Source organism: Homo sapiens, chromosome 20 (assembly GCF_000001405.40).
Source record: "Homo sapiens chromosome 20, GRCh38.p14 Primary Assembly".
NCBI classification, from domain to species: domain Eukaryota; kingdom Metazoa; phylum Chordata; class Mammalia; order Primates; family Hominidae; genus Homo; species Homo sapiens.
The window spans coordinates 1,173,883-1,195,885 of NC_000020.11; the positions used below are offsets into that span (position 1 = coordinate 1,173,883).

General features: G+C 50.5%; 1 protein-coding gene and 1 long non-coding RNA gene across 15 annotated transcripts; one reads left to right on the forward strand and one right to left on the reverse strand.

Moving 5' to 3' along the window:
- Nucleotides 1-905: 905 nt before the first annotated feature.
- Nucleotides 906-6,070, forward strand: LOC124904855 (uncharacterized). Its single transcript, XR_007067486.1, has 2 exons — nucleotides 906-1,361; nucleotides 1,991-6,070. It is a non-coding gene; the product is annotated as an uncharacterized LOC124904855 (long non-coding RNA).
- Nucleotides 6,071-6,687: 617 nt separating this feature from the next.
- TMEM74B (transmembrane protein 74B) lies at nucleotides 6,688-15,527 on the reverse strand. 14 transcript variants are annotated; one of them, NM_001387331.1, is made up of 4 exons: nucleotides 11,256-12,038; nucleotides 10,420-10,498; nucleotides 9,889-10,003; nucleotides 6,688-7,705 (listed from the first exon to the last, which is right to left on the reverse strand). In NM_001387331.1, the coding sequence occupies exons 3-4, from the start codon at nucleotides 9,917-9,919 to the stop codon at nucleotides 6,966-6,968; spliced, it is 771 nt and encodes a 256-aa protein (NP_001374260.1). In that variant the 5' UTR covers nucleotides 9,920-10,003; nucleotides 10,420-10,498; nucleotides 11,256-12,038; the 3' UTR covers nucleotides 6,688-6,965. The 14 variants fall into 14 exon arrangements, with proteins under 14 accessions (NP_001374260.1, NP_001374259.1, XP_047296213.1 ...); NM_001387330.1 differs by having other exon boundaries at nucleotides 9,889-10,066; XM_047440257.1 differs by lacking the exon at nucleotides 11,256-12,038 and adding an exon at nucleotides 10,876-11,188 and having other exon boundaries at nucleotides 9,889-10,066.
- Nucleotides 15,528-22,003: the final 6,476 nt, after the last annotated feature.

Consider the following 22,003-nt stretch of genomic DNA (forward strand, 5'->3'; position numbering starts at 1 on the left):
CCACCACAGGGCAACAGCCAGCCAGAGTTGAAGCAGACCTCCCCTTTAATCCTGCCGCTGTCCACAGCCACCTGCTTAGTTCGTTAATGTCACCTGCCGAGCCCTGCAGGCATTTGCACTTGGGTCCCTGCTTTAATCTGATGAGAAAGGGTGGGGACTCTCAGGGGGAGAGTCAGCAGTAGTTAACAACTCTCCTGTGGGTGCCTAACCCCCATGAGTGACTTCAGTAAAATGAAATGCGGACATGAAAAGGAATCAAAAATAGAGGAATAGGGAGAGATTGGAGGAAGGGAAGAAAGATGAGATGGGAGAGAAATGGCTTTGCTGAATGCCCTTGGCCCTAAGTCAGTACTGGCCCAGACACTGAGCCACCCGGGAAGAGGTTGGCATGGAAGCCGCCTTCTTCCTCTGCCCTCCCTGCTCCCCTGGGGCCAGCTTTCCTTCCACTTGCTAACCTCCCCCTCAGCCCAGGAGAGCAGCAGCTGCCACCTTGACCTTGGTGGCTCAGAGTCCAAGTAGGGACAGGTTGTTGAGATGAAGTACCTGGAGCTTGAGGTTATGTCCTCTGGCTGCAGCGGGATCCCTGAGAAGGGCTGGGGGGTACCAGAGTCCACAGTCCCATGGACGGGCCTCCCCAGCGCCAGTGTCACCCCTAAAGGGCATGACATCAGAAGATTCTTCTTGCCACACACATCTGCAAGCGATTATAATGGCTGACAGTGACCTCTCTCCATGTGCTATACACTGTCTCTGAGAACTGATTCTTCATAATGGCCCTGTGATTTCAGTACTGTGGTTGTCCCCATTCTATAGATGATGAAACACTGAGGCATGCCCTTCAGTATGCCTCATCTCCACACTCCAGCCCAGAATGCAGACCTCCCTCCCGCCCCCTGCCACCCCCCTCCCCACCACCACCAACCCCCCTTACCCCCACCACCACCGCAGTGCACGCCAGGCTGTGTAGGCCTCTGAGCCTCTGCTCATGCTGTTCCTCTGCCCCGAGTGCCTTTCCTTCTCTCCACTCTTTCTTCACACTGGGTACTGCCTCACTGTTTAAAATGCCCGTTAGACACACCCTTCTTTCCTGGAAGAAGGGTGACCCTTTCTGACCCCAGTTCAATCAGATCTCTCCTCCACACACACAGCCCACTGTGCATGCTCATCACAGCAGCAATCACACTGTCCTGTTTCCCCAGACAGCCTGTGACCAACTCAAGGGCAGGGTCTGTGTGTACCCTACAGCGCCTAGCTCAGGGAGGAATGCAGATTGTGTGTGAATGAACGAACGAACGAACCAACACAAATAGCTGACATCAAGCAATTATGGGGTGCCAGGCACCGTGCTAAGTGCTTTACAGGTATCATGTTATTTTCTGCTCACCACAGCCTTATGGGGAAGGCACTGTTATTAGCACTACCCTTTTACAGATGAGGAAACAGGCTAAGAGGCATTAAACAACAACCAAGCATCCAGGCAGTCAAGACTCTAATCTGACTTACATTCTCATTTGATGGACCATCATCCTCAGTGGACCTCCTCTGTAAGGGATCCTGCCTCTGACAAGCTCTCTGAGATTTGAGTAGGGAGAAAGCTCAGAATCACTTGGCCCTCTGGGAGGAGGAAGATGGTCATCCTGCAACCCTCTGCACCATTTAGGTGTCCTGGTCCTGTCCATCTGCTCATGGAACAGCTTGATCTAGAAGAGAAATAATGTGGCGAAGAGGGTTTTTGGGCCAAAGACAAGAAAATATCACAGGGCCAGGGTTGTTACTGTCTTTAGCCAGGATCTGGCCATTGGGACATCGGCTCCCCTCAAAGGCGGGGGGGTTGGAAGCTTGGGGAGTCTCTTGGCTAAATCCTACCCATCTCCACTATGCTCCATCCCTAAGATAGCCAACACTTGACCAGTAGATGCTAACGTACCTCCACTGACAAGAAGCTCCCTACCACTCCAGCCCAGATCTCAGCAAGTTTCTCTTTCTCTAGCTGAAATGTACCTCCTGGGGAACATCAAAAGGAGTCCATTCTCCAGGAGAGACCAGCAGGCCCAGATGGAGGGCCTCCCTGACTTTGTGAGTGCCTCCTGACAGAACCTGACACAGAACCCCATCCTGTGGCTTCTTAATAATGCCTCCCTTCCCCTCTACTCCTGCCCCTTCAAAGCTCTCCAGACACAGAGTACCAAGCTTTGGAAAGTCCTCTGCTTGTGTTATCTGATCCCCCAGCTTTCAGAGAAGGCAGAGTGGGAAGGTTTCCAATTTTCCTCTGGTAGACCAGAGAGATGGAGTAATTTGCCCAAAGGCCCACAGAGAGAAGGGGTGACCAACAGGACCTAGCTCTCCTGGTTCCCAGCCCAGGATCACACAGTCCCCTCCAGAAATGCCAGGACAGAAATGCTTCTGGACATCTCTCCCCATCCTGCTAAGGGCGGGGGAAGCAGGAAAAATACAGAGAAACCAGCCTCGCCTGGGGAGGAGAAACTTGATTGTTGCTGTGAGGTTGGCATTCTGGGAACTGCAAGGCCTATGGCTGGTGGAGAAACAGAAAATGTCGTCAATCATCCAGAGGATGTCCTGGCTTGAAGCTGCTTTACAAGATAGGTGTCCTTGGTCTCTGGGCTTGGTCAGACAAGAGAAAGCTCTGTGTGTGTGTGTGTACGTGCAAGCGCATGTGTGTGCTCTTGCACATATGCACATGTGTATGTACAGACATGTCCATTCAGTGAGGACATTTTAAAGAGAATCCCAGGGAAATTAATGCTTATTCTCAAGGAAGGGAGCAAAAATGGTGGAATCTCAGGCAGCTGGCATTTTGGGCTGGGAGATGCCTGAGGTAAGTGAGTAGATGTGATCATGGATACTGGGGTTCCAAAGGGCCAGGCCTGGGCACTCAAGGTCCTTGGATGGGAAGAATCCGGCTGGTTTCTCACAGGCCCCTAAACACCCAGCAAATGTCTCCCAGGTTTAGCTGGAACCTGGGTATGTCCCAACAAGGTTAGGGGAGAAGGGTCTTCTGAGGGACACCCCTCTAACCCTTCCACATAAAGCCCTACCAAGGCCCAGGGAGAGGAAGGCAAATGGATTCCCAAGTTCCCAGCTGCAGGGCCCAGTGACAAAATCAGCACCTTTGAGGCATGTGATCCTTTGCACAACTGATCCTCACCCCTAGAGAGGGCTCCAGGAGTCTGGGAAGGAACCATGGGCCTCCTGGGTCCTGCATATGGCTCTGCAGCACTGGCAGGTATAAGAAGCTTTTGTTACATTTATTCATCCATTCATTCAACAGTGAGCACCTACTATGTGCCAAACATGTTTCTAACACTGGGAGTACAGCAAGAACCAGTTAGACCAAAATTCCGGCTTTCATGGAGCTTGCAGTCCAGCAGGAGAGGTCGTGGGTGGGAAAGACAAGTACAAGGCTCAGCCTGCTGGGTCATGATTAGTGATCAGAGAAAAATAAGGCAGCGAAGGACAAAAGGGAATGAGGTGGGGTGGGGTACAAATTTAAATATGGTGTTCAGCAAAGGCTTCACTGAGGAGAAGATATTTGAATAAAGCCCCTAAGGAGGTGAGGGAGTGGGCCTTGCAGATACTGAGGGGAAGTACCTTCCAGGCAGAAGAAGCAGCACGTCTGAAGTCCCTTGGATGTGAGCGTGCCCAGTAAGGTTGAGGAATGGTCAAGAGGCACGTGTGGCTGGGGTGAGTGAGCAAGGGGTAAGGGGTGAGAGATGAGGTCAGAGAAGCACAGGGTCCCAATTGCTTAGTGCCTTGTAGGCCACTGTGAGGGATGAACCCTGGTTTGGGGGTACCTGAAGCTTATGCAGTCCAGTGGGGCATCCTCAAGATAGATAAACCAATTCAGGGCCTTGGAAGGGGCTTGTGCTAGTGAGAGGCCCGGACACTTAAGCTTTGCCAGTCTTGCTATAAATCTGCCACTGGTTGTGGTGAGAATTTTGGCTTTTGCCTGGAGAGGGAGCCATAGGAGAGTTTTGAGCAGAGGAGTGGCCTGACCTGACCAGCCTCTGGCCTTCCTCTGGCTGCTGAGTGGAGCATGAACCTGGTGATGGGGCGGGGAGGAGGGGAGGAGAAGGGGGTAAGAGAGAAAGCCAGAACACCAGTGAGCAACCCTGGACTGGCGGTGACAGCCGAGGGTGGACAGCAATCAGATTCTGAAAGTGGAGCTGACAAGATGCGCTGATCTGGAATGTGAGGTGTGATAGAAGAAAGGCAGAAGGGTTGACCACAGCGTTTGAGGCCTAATCCAGCTATCCCCAGTTGAGGTGGGGAAGGAGAGCATCATCATCCCTGGACCTCATACTATGCAGTTCTCCATTTTATCTGTAATCTGCACCACCACCCTGAGGCAGAGCTTTCATTAATCCCACTTCACAGATAGAGAAATCCCGACTCAGAGAGGTGGAGTAACTTGCCCAAGGTCACACAGCCAGTAAGTGGCAGAGCCTGGATTCCAACTTTAGTCTTACCAACTCCAAAATCGGTATCTGTTCTGATGCACCAGGAAAAGCAAGGTTTGGGGCCCTAGGAGCAGGTTAGGTGGGAGAGGCAGTTCCTGGAGGAGAGGCACATTCCAGTAACCACAGAGGCCCCTGGAATGCCTGCAAAGAAAGTTCTCAGCATCCTACTCCGTGTTCCTAATCACCTCCTCCTTAAACCTGTTTCTGATCCATCAGCTGGCAGATCTCAGCTGTAATCATGGGGAAATGCTTTTGTCATCTCTTAAGTTTTCTTAATTCACTGACAAGGTAATAACGCCTCAGTCCATTATACACATTTTCTAAAGGACTTTCAACATTAGAATGCAAAGCAGGCTTCTCTGGCTTAGAAAAACCTGAGACTCCTGGGATTTAATCATCAAACAGATTTAGCCCCTAAATCTGTTTGATGATTAACATCAAACATTTCGTAAGAAAAAAACAAATGGTAGTGCGGCCAGCATGTCCAGGCCACCCAAATATGCCCAATTTCTCCCCTAAATAAACTCATTGCATTTAAACTGATATGAACTGATGGTCCCAGATGCATTCACTCAACAGGTTTAGTATCCAAATGAGTCTGCCACCATCACAGTAATCCATATGACTTGGTTGATATTTTTTTAATTATCATTATGGATTGAAAAGCCTTAGCCCATGATTTGGGATGTCCAATCCTATGTAGTTTACTTAGAACAGCTCATGCCACGTTCTGTGGCTGTGCCTACTTGGAGCCTGGGAGAAAGCGACACAACAGTGGAAGCCTAGGACTTGTGAATCTTTTACCATCTTGGAGCTTTGCTCTTTCCACACCATACCCCTTCAATACCACAACAAAAACCTGGGAAGCCAAGCTAAACAACCCTTGTCCTTTCCAGTCTTCCTCTAGCTCTCTGCTCTTGGTAAAACCTACCAGTAGGAGCAGATATTTGATCTGTCATAGAAGCTGTGATATTACACTCCCCAGATGTTTAACTCACTGGACTGAAGGCTCAAGTTACAGCTAATCAGGGCCTCTCTACACTACAGACCCCATGCCCCCCCACCCTCCCACCCCCAAGGAACAGGATCCTCGGCCCATGTGGCCAACTGAGATGGAGTAAGTAGGACCTACATTGGGCAGGGGATTCACTAAAATGGCTCCTGTAGGGTCTCTACACCAGTGGCTTAGAAGGCATGTGCTCTCAAAGCCCTCTGGGTCCATTCAGACTGAAGGATGCCTCCCCACAGTCCTCAAACACCTGTATCTCCTTGCCCCAGGGCCTACTTCCTTTCCTTACCAAGAGTTTAAAGAAAGTCTGCAGGAACCTAGAAACATTTCATAAGAAAAACACAAATGGCAATGTGGCCAGCGTGTCCAGGCCACCCAAATGTGCCTGATTTCTCCCCCAAATAAACTGTGGCTTCACTTTACTACTATATGAGGGAGACTAAGGTTACAAATTCAGCATAAATTTTTTTTTTTCCTGTTATCCAAATAAGGTCAGGAGCAAGAGACATACTATGGAGGAGAAGGTGATCAAGGCCTGCATCATGCCCACAGAAATACAATAAAGCCCTCACCCTTTCCTGTGTAAAAGATCCTTCTTGCCCAGAGAACTGGGTAATATTGTGCACTTGGCTTTGTAAAAATGTGTCACTGCAGGAAATTAGACCCCAAGACCAAAACCAGGCTGTAGCAAACTTTGAACTGAACCCAACCCCACCAGGGAGCTCTTCCCTGAGACCATGAGAGCTGCTGGCTGTGGTGGTCCCTGAGGTCAGGCCAGAAAATGGCAGGGAGAATGGTTAGTGCCTGGTGGATGCCTTCCTGCCCTGGAGGGGTGACTGGAGATAGAGACTGGGTTCCCATTCCCAGGGAAGAACTAGAGGGACCTGAGGGGTCATCCAGTCCAACCCCCTCACTTGAAGGCAGGGCAACTGAGGCCTGGTGAGGGTAGGATCACAGTTTAGTCAGTGGGGGTACTGGGGGTCACTCTGGTGCTGACTTCTCCCCTCATCATGAAGCCACCTCCCCCACCTTAGATGATCAGGGCTGAAAGGGACCCCTCCACGGCCAATCAACACCCTCACTCAGCCAATAAGGACAGCAGAGGTCCCTCACTCCCCAAGGCATGAGGGAAGAGGATGGGCAACCTTTCAAACAGCTCCCAATCTTGAGAAATGCCAAGAAACCTCATCCTCCAAGAGCAGCGGTTTCCAAACTTTTGTATTTTTAGCAGCAGAAGCCATCCTCCAAACAAAACCGTATGCAAAACCTCAGCTACAAAACAGATCAGTGGGCTGCTTGCCCGTGTGGGGCATGGGCTGGGCCCCGAGCTCTCCCTCCAGCACCCAGTACTTCTTCCACAAGGCCCTATGTGAGCTCAGTTTAAAACCCCAGGGCCTTGGCAGGGGTCAGGTGGGCGGGAGCAGGGGGTGGACCTTGTAGCACTGGAGCTAAAGCAGCCAGATAAGGTGGGCTAGTTCTTAAGACCTCTGGAGGGTGTGGCTAGTCTCTGAGACCTGGACAACTTCATTCTCCACCAGGGCCTGGCCCCCATCCCCATTGAGCTGTCTCATGCGCAGGTTAATGGAGCCGTAGGTCTTCCTGGAGCCCTTGCCGGGGACGAAGGTCCTCCGGCGGTACAGCTCGCCCTTGCACAGGGAGACCATGAGCAGCACCGACAAGAGCATGCCGCCCACCGTGAGCAGCCCGAGGCCTGCGATGATGCACCTGTCCAGGTGGGAGCCTAGGCGGGCGTAGTACATCTCCAGTCGTTCCATCTCCCGCGCTGTCACTGTGTCCGGATTGACTCGAGCCTCACGGGGGATGGCGTATGCTGTCACCACCAGAAGAATCCCACTCACCAGGAAAACGAGGGCGGAAACAAAGCCATAATCCACCGGGCGGCTCACGGGCTCCAGGGCTGGCCCCTCCTCTGAATGAAGGGACAGATCATCCCGCTGGGATCGGGGCAGTGAGGAGACACCCCCAGGGGGACTGGGTGAGCTGCCCAGTCTCGTGTTCCCAGGGTTCTGGAAATGGGTCTCATGCTCCTCTGAGGAGAAGCAGGCATTCTCCACACCCTCCCTGGTTGGGGCCACTGGGCCCAGGGGAGCTGATCTCCTTGGGGCTTGGGGACCATTGCTCAGTGTCTTCAGTTCCAGACCAGGGGGAGATGCCATTGGGAAGGAGGGCCCCAGCTCATCCCTTGGCCCCTTGGCAGCTGGAAGAGAAAAAAGAAAGTCAGTTGAATGTAGCAACCTCTCCCTGTTGTGGAGGACATCATACCAGTCCCTAAGCACATGAAGGTGAGTCAGGCACAATTCCCACTTGGGGGTGTCTGCCAGACAGAGGGGAAGACAGGGAATAAGACGATGACAGAACAGTGTGATCCAAGCCCAGATCCCACTCTACCACCGGGTGGGGTATGGCTGTGGGCAATTCACTAATCCTGTCTGGCTTCAGTTTCCCCACCTATAAAATAATACTACTACTACCCTCTAGTTCGCAAAGCTGGAGTAGGATTGAGATAACCTATACGAAGTACTCAGAACACTAAGTGCTCAAAGTTAGCGATGAGTTCCTATTATACTGGAGGGAATGTAGGTAGTGTGAATATCAGGCTCAAATCCCAGCTTCACCACTTGGGCTTGGGCAAGTGATGTGACCTCTCCAGATTCGGTCTTCATCTTATCTATAAAATGGTAATGAATAAAATGCCTCCCTCATAAGGTTGTTGTGAGGATTTCATAAAATAGTGCATGCAAGACCCTGGCCAGTGCAATCCATGGACCTTGTTGTATGAGGGAAGGATGACGGAGGGGTGGGGGAGGGGGTAGAAATGCAGAAGTTGTTGTGGGAACAAAGAGGAAGGGAAGTTTCTGGGAGTTGGTGGCATTTGAGCCAGATCTCAGAAGATGAATTGGATACTTCCCAGCAATGGAAGGTGATGAGGGCATTCTGGAAAGGGGAACAGACTGCCTCAGAGGCCAGCTGGGGCCGGCTCACAGAGGACTCTGAAAGCCAGGCCAAGGAGCCCGAGAGCCATGCAGAGCTGAGGAGCTGGAGCAGGAAGTGCCTCGGCTTCAGAAGAAAGGAGGACTGATGAGATGGGAGGGGGCAAAGTGGAGGATGGGGGTCCAGCAAGGAAGCCAGCAGGTTGGGGATGGCATGGCTAAAAGGGCCAAGAGGAAGGGGCAGACTGGAGAGCCATGACTAGGTCAAAGCCAAATGCCTTTATGTAAACAGAAGTGTGGGGACCTGGACTAGAACCACAGGAGGGGAACCGGGAGGGAGAGGCGAGAAGAGGGACACTCTCTGTGCTGCAAGAGGAGTTACCCCACCCAAGAACCTGAACACAAACCCACCCAGACACAGACAGCACATGTGCATTCCCGCTGAAGGATACTGACTTACAGCCCGGGGACCATATTTGGCTGATAGAAGTTTTGCTTTGTTTTGTTCCTGGCCTGTTCATTTGTTTTTGGTGAATTAGTTGCAAATGTATAAAAAGCAAAAGATTTTAGATTTTACATTTTAAATGTTGGATTCCTGGCTTCTCCTGCAAAATGAAAGAATCTGGCCACCTTAGGCCCCCGTTCCCTTGTAACACTCGCCTGGAGTTGGCAATCGGGGCTCTTAGGCAGATCTAGCCTCTCCCCGACAGGTCCCACCTCAGCCCCCTTCCCTGCCTGGCATGTGTCATTCCTAATCCACAGCAGAACTGCATCATTCCTTGTATACACTGATGGCCTGAGGGCACATACACTCAGAGCCCTAGGCGCACAAGCCATGGGCTACAGAGACCACCAGGTGCAGAGTGGCTCACATGCTCCGGTGTGTCTACGCACACATACATGCACACACACACGATTCTCTGCATTCTCATGCCGGAGTTTATTCTCCAGTGCACTGTGGTTCGTTCTCTGTGTGTGTGTGTGTGTGTGTGTGTTTGTGTGTGTGTGTGTGTGTAAATATGAGCAAATGAAGTGAGGATGAATGGAATGAATGAATGAATGAAACTCAAAGAGCCTCAGTGCAGGAAGACATGTTTTTCAATCTTTCTGACCTTCTTGTCAATATGGACTAGCATCAGACACCTCCTCTTAGCACATATAGGGCCTTTCATGTGAGTACAAAGCTCTTTTCCCTTTACAGCCCATTTCTATCACTACGTCTCTCTTTCCAGAGTCTCAATTTAGTAAATGTTTACCAAGCACCTACTAGCTGTTGAGCCATGTACCCGACACTTCATGCAGGAGTATCTCATATCACCCTCACCAGCCCCACGATCCGGAATTACTGTCTCTATTTCATAAAACATGGCCAAGATCCCATGGCATGTATGGGAGGGTGGAGGACAGGAGTTGAATGCAGATTCCCTAAGAATTATTATCATGTACAAACCTGCAAACTCATACCCCTGTGCTGGTGGCATCACTCCACCAGCCTTCCCTGGCTCTGCATCCCTCACTCATAGACTCTTCATTTTATCCAGCTGTTTATCAGCAACCGTGAGCACCTTGAGAGCAGGCATAAGTTTGAATTCCATCTGGGTCCCCAGCCTGCGCCCAGACTGCTTTTACTTTCCAGTGAATAGACAGAAAAAAGAGATGTGTTTGTTGGTTGGCTTTTTACTCTTAGCACCAAAAACATTTTCCTGAGTGCCCAGCCACAAACAGGGACCAGCAGTGGGTGCCACATGGGTGCTCAGAAGTGGCCCCCACCCACACCCTCAGCACCTTCCACCCAACTCAGCTCCTGGAGTGGCCCAGGAACCCCTTTCCCAGACTGATATATTGATGCCTCCACACCCTGGAAGAAATCTGGAGCTCCCAAATTCTGGGAGCAGAGCTCTCCTTCATGCTGCAGGAACCCAAAACTTTTTTCTTAGGATGCCACAGTGAGAGGGCAGAGAAAAATGAGGATTCCTCTCACCCAGAGTTAGGACATCTCTCTGTTTCATGCCCAGGTTCAGAGATATTCACCAGTTACACAAAGGCCGTGCCCAATTACCCTAACATAAGCAGAAACACACCAACTGACATAGCTGCTCCCGCCCACCATTCACACCCCACGACCCCACCAGTTACTAATTTCATCTGCAGTCAGACAGGTCCTGAAAGGAACACTCCAGTTCCACACACACTCCCCCAGCAGCTGTTCCCACAGCAGTACCCACAGACACCCAGAAGTCACGTAGTGTGACCCTCGGATCTTCGGGCCACGCGAGTACCCCGTCACACGCACACGCGCGTACACACACACACACACACACACACACACACACACAAAGTGCCCCTGGGAGTGAGACCCAAGCCAGATCCACCAAGACCCGCAGGGGCCCAATACCCCACCCGCCGCGCGCACTGACACCCGGAGAGAGGGACGCACAGCGGCTGTGGGTGAAGCTTCACAAAACCCAGTCGATAGACACACGCACGAGTTGTACACAAAGCCTTGGGGCGCGCAGATACGCACACGCAGGTCCACGCTGTTGTACCCAAAGTTGCGCGCAGAAAGCCCCAGCACGCCGGCTGCCCACCGCGCCCGCTCCCGCCGGCCCAGTCCACACCCCCTGCTCCTGCCCTTGCCCACAGACGCGGGACCCGGAAGGCCGAACCGGACCAGGCGGAGGCCCGGGGAGGCCGGGTCCCCTGGTCGCATGTCCTTCGGCGGGCCGCGAGGTCAGGCTCGCCGTCCTTCGCCGCCACTCCCCGCCCCCGGCCCTCGGCCTCCTGCCGCCCCCAGCGGTCCCCTCTCCGCGTGCGTACCTGTGCCGGGCCTCCCTCCCCGCCTCACCACGCTGGGGCGAAGGGCGCCCGGCCGCCGGCGGGCGAGGGTGCGTCCTCTCCGGTGCCCGTCCGCCTTCCTGCAGCCGGCGTACGCCTGCGGGGGTCTCGCCTGCGGGGGTCTCTCTCCTGCGGCGCAGCCCGGAGGGCGCGGGCCCGGCCGCCACCGCCTCGCCCTCCCGGTCTCCCGCCCCCTTCCCGGCCCGGCCCGGAGCCACTGCCGAGGCGCACGTACCTACTCGCGCCGCGCGGAGCTGTACGGCGGCGGTGGCGGCCGCTGGGGAGGCGGGGGGGGGATCCGGGGACGGAGGGACGGGAGAAGGGGCGGGGGCCGGGGCTCGCCGAGCGCCGCGGAGGGAGCTCCGCCCGCGGCCGGCGAGGGCGCCCGGAGAGTTAGCAAGGAGAGGGACAGGAAGGCGGGTGATGGGCTGGGGCGAGGGTGCGGGGGCTCCGATCCACCGTCCTCCCCTCCCCTCCAGGCAGATCTGGATCGCCGGCGCCTGGGCTTAGGGAACTGGGGCTTGGAGCCCGCGGTCCACGGGCGCAGGGGCGGGGCGGGCGGGGGCTGCTGAAGAAGATCCCTCCCCACCACCGGAGAGCCCCTATTGCGCCAAGCGCAGGTGCCTCCCCACTCCTCACCCCCACTCTGCCACTTCCCCTTCCCCCCACCCCCACCCCGCACGCAGCCCCCAGGTAGGACCCCGGGTCCTCTCCGAGGTCCTTAGGTCGGGACGGTCTCCTCGGGCGCTTGCGGCTCCGTGGCTCAAGGGCGCCACCTGAAGGCTGCAAGAAAGAATCCGACGATCCCCCTCCCCCTTTTCTCTGCAATTTTTTTCTCCGTGGGACAGTGGAGTGCTCCGCCCAAGAGGGGTGTTCTCCTGGGGGCATTGCCAATGGCCAAACACACCCTCACCCTCCAAGGCCCAGCTGTGGGGCCTCTTCTCCTGGAACCCCTCCCTGGGCACACACCCACTTACCCCACGGGCCCCTCCATCTGGGCTCTCCTTTTGCCCGCACTGTTTGCTCTTGTCTCTGACGGTCGTGATTTTGTTTAAGGGTCAGCCTCCTCCATCGGATTGGCAGCTCCTGGAGAGCAGGACCCATGTCTGATCACCTAGAAGACCTAGGTGGGTGTGGGTGAACAGGCTGTGAAAAGGGGTGACTTTCACTTCTTTCCTTTACAGGGCCGGAGTTAAGATGAGTCCAGCGAAGTGCCTAGAGTACCAAATTCATGGAGACGTTTCCTCTTTGGGGAACACACGCCAACCCCAGAGACAGCTTTGGTCTGAATCGTGCAGGTTCCGGGAAGACACGGTGACCAGCTGAATCGTGTGGTCTCGGTTAGTACCTCTGGCCTCTGAGCCTGTATCCACTTCTGTCCATGAGGATTGTGAATGTGCAGGCTTTGAGGGCTCTGGGAAGGCCAGCAGAAGTTGGCCATGTGGAAGGACAGGCGAATGAGTGTGCCATGTCCTGCTCCTCGGCCACCTCATGAGCGGAGCCTGACCTGCCCTCCTCCAAAGTTCTGTGCAGCCCTCCCCAACCAGGAGACTGGAAGTCACCCTGGATGATGGATGCCTGTGCCTTCAAGGCCAGCATAGCCTAGCCCTAGGCAGGTCCACCAGGGCTGGGAAGGCCTCCATTTCCTCCCAGCCTTGCAGAGGCCTGGCCCGTTGTTAGAGACTTCAAAGGGATGCTAGCCCTGGCACCACACTCCTGTTCAAATCCCAGCTCCACCCCCACAGCTGGGTGCCCTGGTGTAAAGGACTGCCCTCCTGGAGCTCGGTTTCCTCCTCTGTGAAACGGATGTAGGAAGTGTTATGGGAATGGGATGAGATACCGCCTTTAAAGCACTCACTGTTCCTTCCCTCAGTCATGCGCTGTCCTACCTCAGCCTTTGCGCTGGCTGTTCCTTCTGCCTGGGACGTTTTTCTTTCTGATATTTCCCGCACTCACCCCCTTCCCTCACTTCCTTCAAGTCTTTGCTCAAATGCCACCTTCTCAGAGACGCCATTCCAGGCCATCCTTTCAAAAATAGCAGTGCCCCAGCACTCTTTACTCCCTCACTCTGAATTTTTCTCTATAGCACTTACCAACTGACATTAGTTTCTGTTTGCTTATTGCCACCTCCCCTAAAAAATAAGTGCCAAAAGAAGAGGGTTTTTGCCTGTTTCCCTCCCTGCAGTATCCCCAGACACTAGAAAAGGGGCTAACACCTAGGAAGCTCTGGATAAGTGCTCACTGAATAAAGAACAGAGAAAATGGGCAAATATTATATACTAGTTAGCTAGGTAGACTCCATCCCTACACTCAGGAAGCTTGTATTCTAGTGGGAGAAAAGGATAAGTAAATGTAACATTGCAGTTATAGTAAATGCTACCAAATAAAAGTATAGAGTGCAAGCCTCAAACAAGGGTGCCAACCTAGTCTTGGGGATAGGAATGGCTTCCTGTAAAAGTGTGGACTGAGCTGAGATTAGAAGGATGAGTAGAAGGCAACCAGATAAAGAGGGGAGGAAAGAGAAGTCCAGCAGAGCGCCTAGCATAGGCGAAGACCTTGGGGTAGAAGGAAGTGTGTGACGAGTTTGAGAGTTGCAGGAGACCAGTATGGTTGTCATGGAGGGCCTGATAAGGAACCTGGTAGGAGACGAGCCTGGGCTTAGCAGGTCAGGTCACTGCAGAGCCTTACAGGCCAAGTAATTTGTTCTTTATCCTCAGAGCAGTGGAGAGCCTCACTGATGAATGTAAGTAAAGGGTTAACAAAACCTTTTCCTCTTTTGCATGAGAATTTGACCTTTGGAAGCTCTGTTTCCTGGAAACAGATAAACATATGTCTGCTATGTTACTAAGCAACATTGCTTCTGATAAAAATGACCCCTGAGGAGGAGGCTAGAATGATCCATGTGGCAACAGATTAGAATTGGAGATACCAGAATGAACTCATGTTTAGCTTAATATAGATGCAGATGATTACATACAGAAAGTTATATATATATATAATACACACACACACACACACACACACACACGGGCTAGTATACACACATTTATTTCCTTACTGTCAGGCGAGAGGGCCTAGAAGCAATGATACTCCATAGCAACAAGCACACGTAGCACTGAAATCTTGGTTTCTAATACCATTCTCCAATAAAAGGATCCAAGGCTCCTTGAAGAAATTGCTGTTTATAGGACTTGGGCAGGAAACACTACAAGATGAGCCCAGAGCATCTGATAGTGCCAGAAAGTAAAGAAATGCTACACACACACACACACCACACACCACACACACATGCCACACACACTCTACACACACTACACATACACTACACACACCACACACACTACACACACATGCCACACACACACTCTACACACACACTACACACACCACACACATACCACATGCACCACACACACCACACGCACTACACACACACCATACACACAATACACATACTACACACACACCACACACATACACTACCTACACACACCACACACACTACACACACACCACACACACACACAAATGGTGGGGGTAGGAGCTAACTGAAAGAGTTCCCAATGGCCAAAGCTGGAAAAATTTGAGTGACAAAATAAATAAGGTAATATTGGACTGTAACAAAAAGTATGAAATAAATATCTATGAGTCCATACTGATAAAAATAACTGAACAAACAGGTAGAAAAGAGAAATCTCCCATGCAGAATTCCAAATTCTGTATCTAGATAACTCAGTCCTTGAGGAGGGGAACTGTAACTCCCCATTTTGAAAGTGCGAGGTGCACATAATGACTCCCTTTCCAAGAGTGTTTTATGGAAAGCGCTGGGGTGGCGGGGCGGGGGCGGGGGCAGGTGGGAAGTAACTTTACAGTGGAGAAACTGACAAACGTGATGACCTCAGCCAGGTGATGAAAGTCAACTCCAACAGTCAAATCACGTCGCTAGTAGGTACCTTGGATATGATGCGGCACAAATGGCACTTTACCTCTGTTGTCTTCCTCCCCAAAACCCATAGCTGCAGTCTAGTCATCAGATAAACATCAGACAAATCCCAATGAAGAAAATTCTACAAAACATCTGACTAGTTCTCCTCAAAGGTCATCAAAACAAGGAAAGTCTGAGAAATTGTCACAAACGATAGGAACCTAAAAAGACATAACGACTCAATGTAGTGTGGTACCCTTGATAGAATACTGGAACAGGAAAAGGAAATTTTGCAAAAACTATGGAAATATAAATAAAGTATGGACTTTAGCTAATAACAGTGTATCAGTGTTGGTTAATTGTAACAAATATACTCATGTAAGATGTTAACAGTAGGGGAAAGTGGGTTTGGGGTTGATGTCCTTCGGATGTTTGTCTCCTCCAAATCTCATGTTGAAATTTGATCCCCAGTGGCAGACTTGGGGCCTGGTGGGAGATGTTTGAATCATGGGGGTGGATCCCTCATGAATGGCTCTGTGCTGTCCCCACGGTAATAAGTGAGTTCTCACTCTATTCGTTCACTAGAGAACTGATTGTTAAAACAAGAGCCTGGCACTTTCCTCCCCTCTCCCTCTTGCTCCCTCTCTTGCCATGTGATGTCTGCTCCCCTTCTCTTTCTGCCATGATTGGAAGCTTCCTGAAGTCCTCACCAGAATCAGGTGCTAATGCCATCCTTCTTGTACAAGCCCACAAAACCATGAACCAAATATTAATAAACCTATTTTCTTCATAAACTACCCAGCCTGAAATATTCATTTCTTCTCCATCCCTCCTTCTCCTCCTCCTTCTTCTTGTTCTTTCTTCTTCTTCTCCTTCTTCTTCTGTTCTTCTTCTTCTTCTTCTTATTCTTCTTCGTCTTCTTCTCCTCCTCCTCCTTCTCCTTCTCCTTCCTCTTCCTCTTCCTCTTCTCCCACTCCTCCTCCTCCTCCTTCTTCTTCTTCTTCTTCTTCTTCTTCTTCTTCTTCTTCTTCTTCTTCTTCTTCTTCTTCTTCTTCTTCTCCTTCTCCTCCTCCTCCTCCTCCTCCTTCTCCTTCTCATTCCTCTTCCTCTTCCTCTTCTCCCACTCCTTCTTCTTCTTCAGAGATGGGGGCCTCATTCTGTCATCCAGGCTGGAGTGCACCAGCACTATCATAGCTCACTGCAGCTTCAAACTCCCAGGCTTAAACGATCCTTCCACCTCAGCCTCCTGAGTAGCTGGGACTAGGTGTGCACAACCAAGCCAGGCTAATTTTTTTCTTTTGTTGGTAGAGACAGGGTCTCACTATGTTGTCCAGGCTGGTCTTGAGCTCCTGGGCTCAAGCAATTTTCCTCCTCAGTCTCCCAAAGTGCTGGAATTACAGGCATGAGCCGCAGTGCTCTGCCTAGGTATTCTTTTATAGCAACACTAAACAGACTAAGACAGCGATATATGGGAACTCTCTGTATCATCTTCCCATTTTTGCTGTAAATCTAAAACTGTTCTAAAAAATATATATAAGTTGTTGTTGATGATGCTTTTAAACACCCCTGAGAGATAACTTGCGTCTGGGCTGGAGGGAACTATAAATATCTGGTGGGAAGTCATACTTTTGGTGTCCTAAATATAGTGATTCATGTAACTGGACAGGTCCAAAGGCATTGGCTCCTGTGGGACATGAAACTTTTAAGCCAGGATCGTTCCTGCACCCACCTGATGGGGATTTCATCTGGCATCTGAGTGGTACTGCTCTGCCGGAAGAGGCAAAGATTCCTGCCAAGAAGAGCATTGCGTGCTGTGCTAGCAAGTGGAAGTTCCTGAGCTGTATCCTTCAGAGTAGGTCAATGCCAAGTGTGGCTTATGGTCAGCCGCTGAGCCTGAGTGTGTATTGAACCTAAGAAGACTCCCTTGTGGACATGGCAGTGGGTGATAAGCAAGGGAGTGATGTGAGTAGATTTGCACTGTGAAAACATTCTCCCTCTGGTTACTCCCAGGTGCAAGGGGACAAGAGAGAAAAACAGACCATGTGGGAGATTATCATGGTCATGTTGGCACACAGAAAGTCCTCAATCAGATAGCTGTAATTATGTATCTGTGGAGATGTGTGATCTGTGAGACAGAATGAGGACTTCCTATAGGAACATTAGGAGAAACACTTAGTCTGCAATATTCCAAAAGGTAGTGGTATATAACATAATTTTAGGTGTTAAGTAAATAAAGATGTTTTGATTATCTATCACTGCATAACAAACCACCCCAAAACAGCAGCTTAAAAGAAAATTATTATTTATTTTCTCACAGTTTTGCAGTTTGGGTTGCTCTCAGCTGAGATAGCTCAGCTCTTGTCTGTATGGCGTCAGCTGGGGTGGCACAAACAGCTGGGAGCTGGCGTAGACTTGACTGTGTGTCTATGGGCTTGGTTCTCACTGTCAGCTGGGTTTTTTCATTCTCTCCTACATGATCTCTCCATGTAGCTAGCGTAGGCTTCCTTACATAATAGTGGTCTCAAGGTAGTCAGAGTTCTTACATGGCAGGCAACTTTCCCCAGAGCACAAAAGAAAAAGCTGCTGGATCATCTTAAAACTGAGGCTTGGAACTGGCCTGGCATTGCTTCTGCTGCATTCTATTGCTTAGTGCAGGTCATGGGCCAGCCTGGATTCAAGGGGAGGGGTCTATATAAGGATATGAATACCAGGAGGCATGTGTCATTGGGGGCAACTAGAGTAACACTCCCCCATCAGCTACACTACATTTATCTCTGTACCTATATACACACATATCTATATGTGTTTATTCATTTCAATGACTGTTTATTTTAAATTGTTTTAGAAAATATATAACTAGCGGCTGGGCGCGGTGGCTCACGCCTGCAATCCCAGCACTTTGGGAGGTCAAGGCTGGCAGATCACGAGGTCAGGAGATCAAGACCATCCTGGCTAACATGGTGAAACCCCATCTCTACTAAAAATGCAGAAAAAATTAGCCGGGCGTGGTGGCGGGCGCCTGTAGTCCCAGCTACTCTGGAGGCTGAGGCCGGAGAATGGCATGAACCCAGGAGGCGGAGCTTGCAGTGAGCCGAGATGGCGCCACTGCACTCCAGCCTGGGTGACAGAGCGAGACTCCGTCTCAAAAAAAAAAAGGAAATATATAAGTAACTCATGAAACCAAAGATATCATGGGTGATATTGACTAGAGTAAGGGCAGAAAAATGAGTCTATATGAAGTTGATGCAATAAAGTCTGCTGGTTTCTTCCAGTATTCACTCACTCTTTCTTCCACCGTAATAGAAGCCTTGATCAATAGTGGGTACAGTGCACCAGAAGGATTTCATTTCCCAGCTTTCCTTACAGCTAGGTATGGCCAAGTGGATGGTAAGCCATTAGGATATGAGAGGAGGTAGTGTGGGAAAAATGCGTTAAGTCTCCTGAAAGGAAAGGAATGTGCCCTCCTACTCTCTTTTTGTCCTTCTTGCTGCCAGGATGCAAAACCAATGGCTGGAACTTGAGCAACCATCTTGGACCATGAAGTGGAAGCCTATTAGGTTGGAAGAGCAGCAAAATTGAAGGAACCTAGATTGCAGATGACTAGATGGAAACACCAGAATGGGATAGTTCCTCATACTTTTGTGGATGAGAGAAACAAACATCTATTTTGTATAAGCTACTATTACTTGGGATTTTCTGTCACTCAGAAGAACTAAGTCAATCAAAGTAGAATCAGGCTGGGTGCAGTGGCTCACCCCTGTAATCCCAGCACTTTGGGAGGCCAAGGCAGGTGGATCACCCAAGGTCAGGAGTTTGAGACCAGCCTGGCCAACGTGGTGAAACCCTGTCTCTGCTAAAAATACAAAAATTAGCTGGGTGTGGTGGCGTGCACCTGTAGTCCCAGCTACTCAGGTGGCTGTGGCAGGAGAACTGTTTGAACCCGGGAGGCGGAGGTTGCAGTGAGCCGAGATCGTGCCATTGTACTCCAGCCTGGGTGACAAGAGCAAAACTCAGTCTCAAAAAAAACAAAAAAAAAACAAAAAACAGTAGAATCAGTAGGCAAAAACTGAATAGGTATATGAATAGCTGAAGATTGAGAAATACAGATGCAATCTGATCCCTTGTGTTCCAGGTAAGAAATCTCTGAAGCCAGCCTGTAGTATGTCCAGGAGGATTATATGAAAGAAGTAATAACCCAAGGGAGACTGAGGTTTTTCTAGGTGAAGGGAGTGAGTGGAGCAACGAAAAGTTCCTGGAAAAGGAAACAACACTTAAGCCCAGAGATGAAGTAATAGTAGCAAATTATTTGTGTGTTTATTTTATTTGACAAACACTTACATAACCCTTCCCATAGGCGAGGCACATGTTTTTACAAATATTAACTCACTCAATCATCTTAACCACCTGATCATGTGGATACTATTATTGCCCCCATTTTAAGATGAGGAAATCAAGGCACAGAATAGCTAATAACTCTGTGTCCAAAGTTACACAACTGTTGTCTCATGGTTTGGGGATTCAGAACCAGACCTCAGCCCAGTGCTTGTAACCACTCTGCTGGCTTTCATCGTAATTTTCAAAGCACTCACAAAAGTCTTGAGAGGCTGTTACTATCATCTCCATTTTCACATTTGGGAAATTTGAGTGCCAAGGAGAAAGGAGATTATCTTACCGCTACACTAAGGAAGCAAAATTCCAATCAGACCCAAGGGCCCCTGACTTCCAGGTTGATTTAGGGACCTCAGATAGACCTAAAGTCCTGGGGCTGATCAGCCCCATGCCTAATCACCCATACCCCACTCCGTTTTCACCTTTCTCAGAATCTGGCTGGGATCTGGTGTTTGGGTTTGTTTACTTGTGTCATATTTACCCCTGGCACCAGCCTGGCTCATCTGGTTTTCCTGGAGCTCTAATACTTTCATGGAGTGGCGCTGATATCGTGGCAATGGGACATGGTTCAGGGATTTCAAGAAATTAATTGGTGGTCATGTTCCAGGCCCTGGAAGGAGTGTCCACATTCACACTCACATGCACACAAATCTTCAGCCGGCCTGGCTGGCATTCTGCCTCCCTTTCCACCTGGTCTGTATGGATCTCCCAGCCTTGGGGAATAAAAGTCTTGAGTGTTGTGTTCTCTCTCTGCTGTGGAAAGAGTAAGGGGGGAGGCGAGGAAAAACAGAAATCAAGATCCATAATCCTAGCTTCTACAAGAGTGAGTGCCCCTACCTAGCAGCTCCTTGAGGGCAAATGTCTTATTGTCTCTCATCCATGTGCCAGCACAGGGCCTAGCACACTGGGAGTGCTGGGTTAGGTAGATTCCAAGCCACTCCCCTGGGAGAGGGCAGGCCCAGGGAGAAAGGAGGAGCCACCGTGATGGAGGTTGTTTGATGGTGCACCTTCTGTGTGGCGATCCCTGCACCTGGTCCCTCTGCATTCTGACAGGTCAGTAACCTGGAGTTTAATCACCATGGGAGGAAACTGGGGTCAGATCAGTCAGGCTACCTGCCACAGAGTCACACTCAAGGCTAGTTGAGGCCAAGGGATGCTCTTCTGTCCGTCCTATTCTGCTTCACCAGAGTCTCCACCATCTCACCAGGGTCAAGGGCTGCCCTCCATACAACAGAAGATTGCAGGATGGTGTCCTAGATACACCAGCATGAGACAGGTGTGTATAGGACACAGGTGCAGAACAGAGGGTGAGAATACCCATGTCCAGAACACTCCTGGATAGATATGCACAGGATAGATATGTGCGGAAAGGGGTGCAGAGTGCTCATGTGTACAAGGCACGTATGGATAGGATACTGTTTTCGTCCCTTTTTGCTGCTATAACAAAATACCCGAGACCGGGTAATTATAAAGAACGTGGCTAGGTGCAGTGGCTCGTTCCTGTAATCCCAGTGCTTTGGGAGGCCAGGGCAGGAGGACTGCTTGAACCTAGGAATTTGATACAGCCTGGGAAACATAGAGAGACCCCATCTCTACAAATAAATAAATAAATAAGCCAGGCATAATGATGTACACCTATAGTCCCAGTTACCTGGGAGGCTAAGGAGGAAGGATCTCTTGAACCCAGGCTTTTGAGGCTGTAGTGAGCTGTGATCGCACCATGGTACTCCAGCCTGGGTGACAGAGACCTTGTCTCAAAAAAAAAAAAGAACAGAAATTTGGAGGCTGGAACATCCACAATCAAGACACCAACATTGGCATCTGATAAAGGCTGCTTTGTTTCCCAGATGGTGCCTCATTGCTGTGTCCTCACATAGCAGAAAGCAGAAAGGCAAGAAAGTGCTCCCTTCAGCCTGGTGCCTTTTTATATGGGTGCTAATTCCATTCATGAGGTCAGAGTCCTCATGAATTGCCTCCGAAAGACCACACTTCTTAATACTGTTGCATTGTGGATTAGGTTTCAACATGGGTTTTGGAAGGGACACTAACATTCAAACCATAGCATATGTGTTGTGAGTTGAGTTCCCTCAGATGTAGGCCCAAGACAAGAATTTGAGTGCAAGTGGTTTATTTGGAAAGTCATCCCAGGAAGCACAGCAGAGGAATGGGAAGTGAGAGCAAGAAGGAAGTGCATCCAATACACTACAGGTGCATTAGTGAGTCCCTGACTGCCATGAGCAACTGGGGCTCAGTCCCATTGGACTGAGTACTGTTCCACCTGAGATCTGAGGCCACAGAGCTCTCACTATTTATCCGCCAGCACCTGTTTGTCATTGTTGGGGGCTATTCCTGCACTTCTAGCCTGTCCTCTGCACATGTCAAGCATGTTCCTTAAGCAGAGTGAGACCTGCTTACA

What these genes read in the sequence shown, in the direction of transcription:
- TMEM74B (XM_011529281.3), bottom strand. Translation starts at nt 12,714, where the DNA reads ATGGCCAACTTCTGCTGGCCTTCCCAGAGCCCTCAAAGCCTGCACATT. An exon ending in TACAGGCTCAGAGGCCAGAG is followed by an intron (nt 12,360 to 12,621) that starts GTACTAACCGAG and finishes CCTGCTCTCCAG; the next exon opens with GAGCTGCCAATCCGATGGAG. An exon ending in CAGATGGAGGGGCCCGTGGG is followed by an intron (nt 7,706 to 12,250) that starts GTAAGTGGGTGT and finishes TTTCTCTTCCAG; the next exon opens with CTGCCAAGGGGCCAAGGGAT.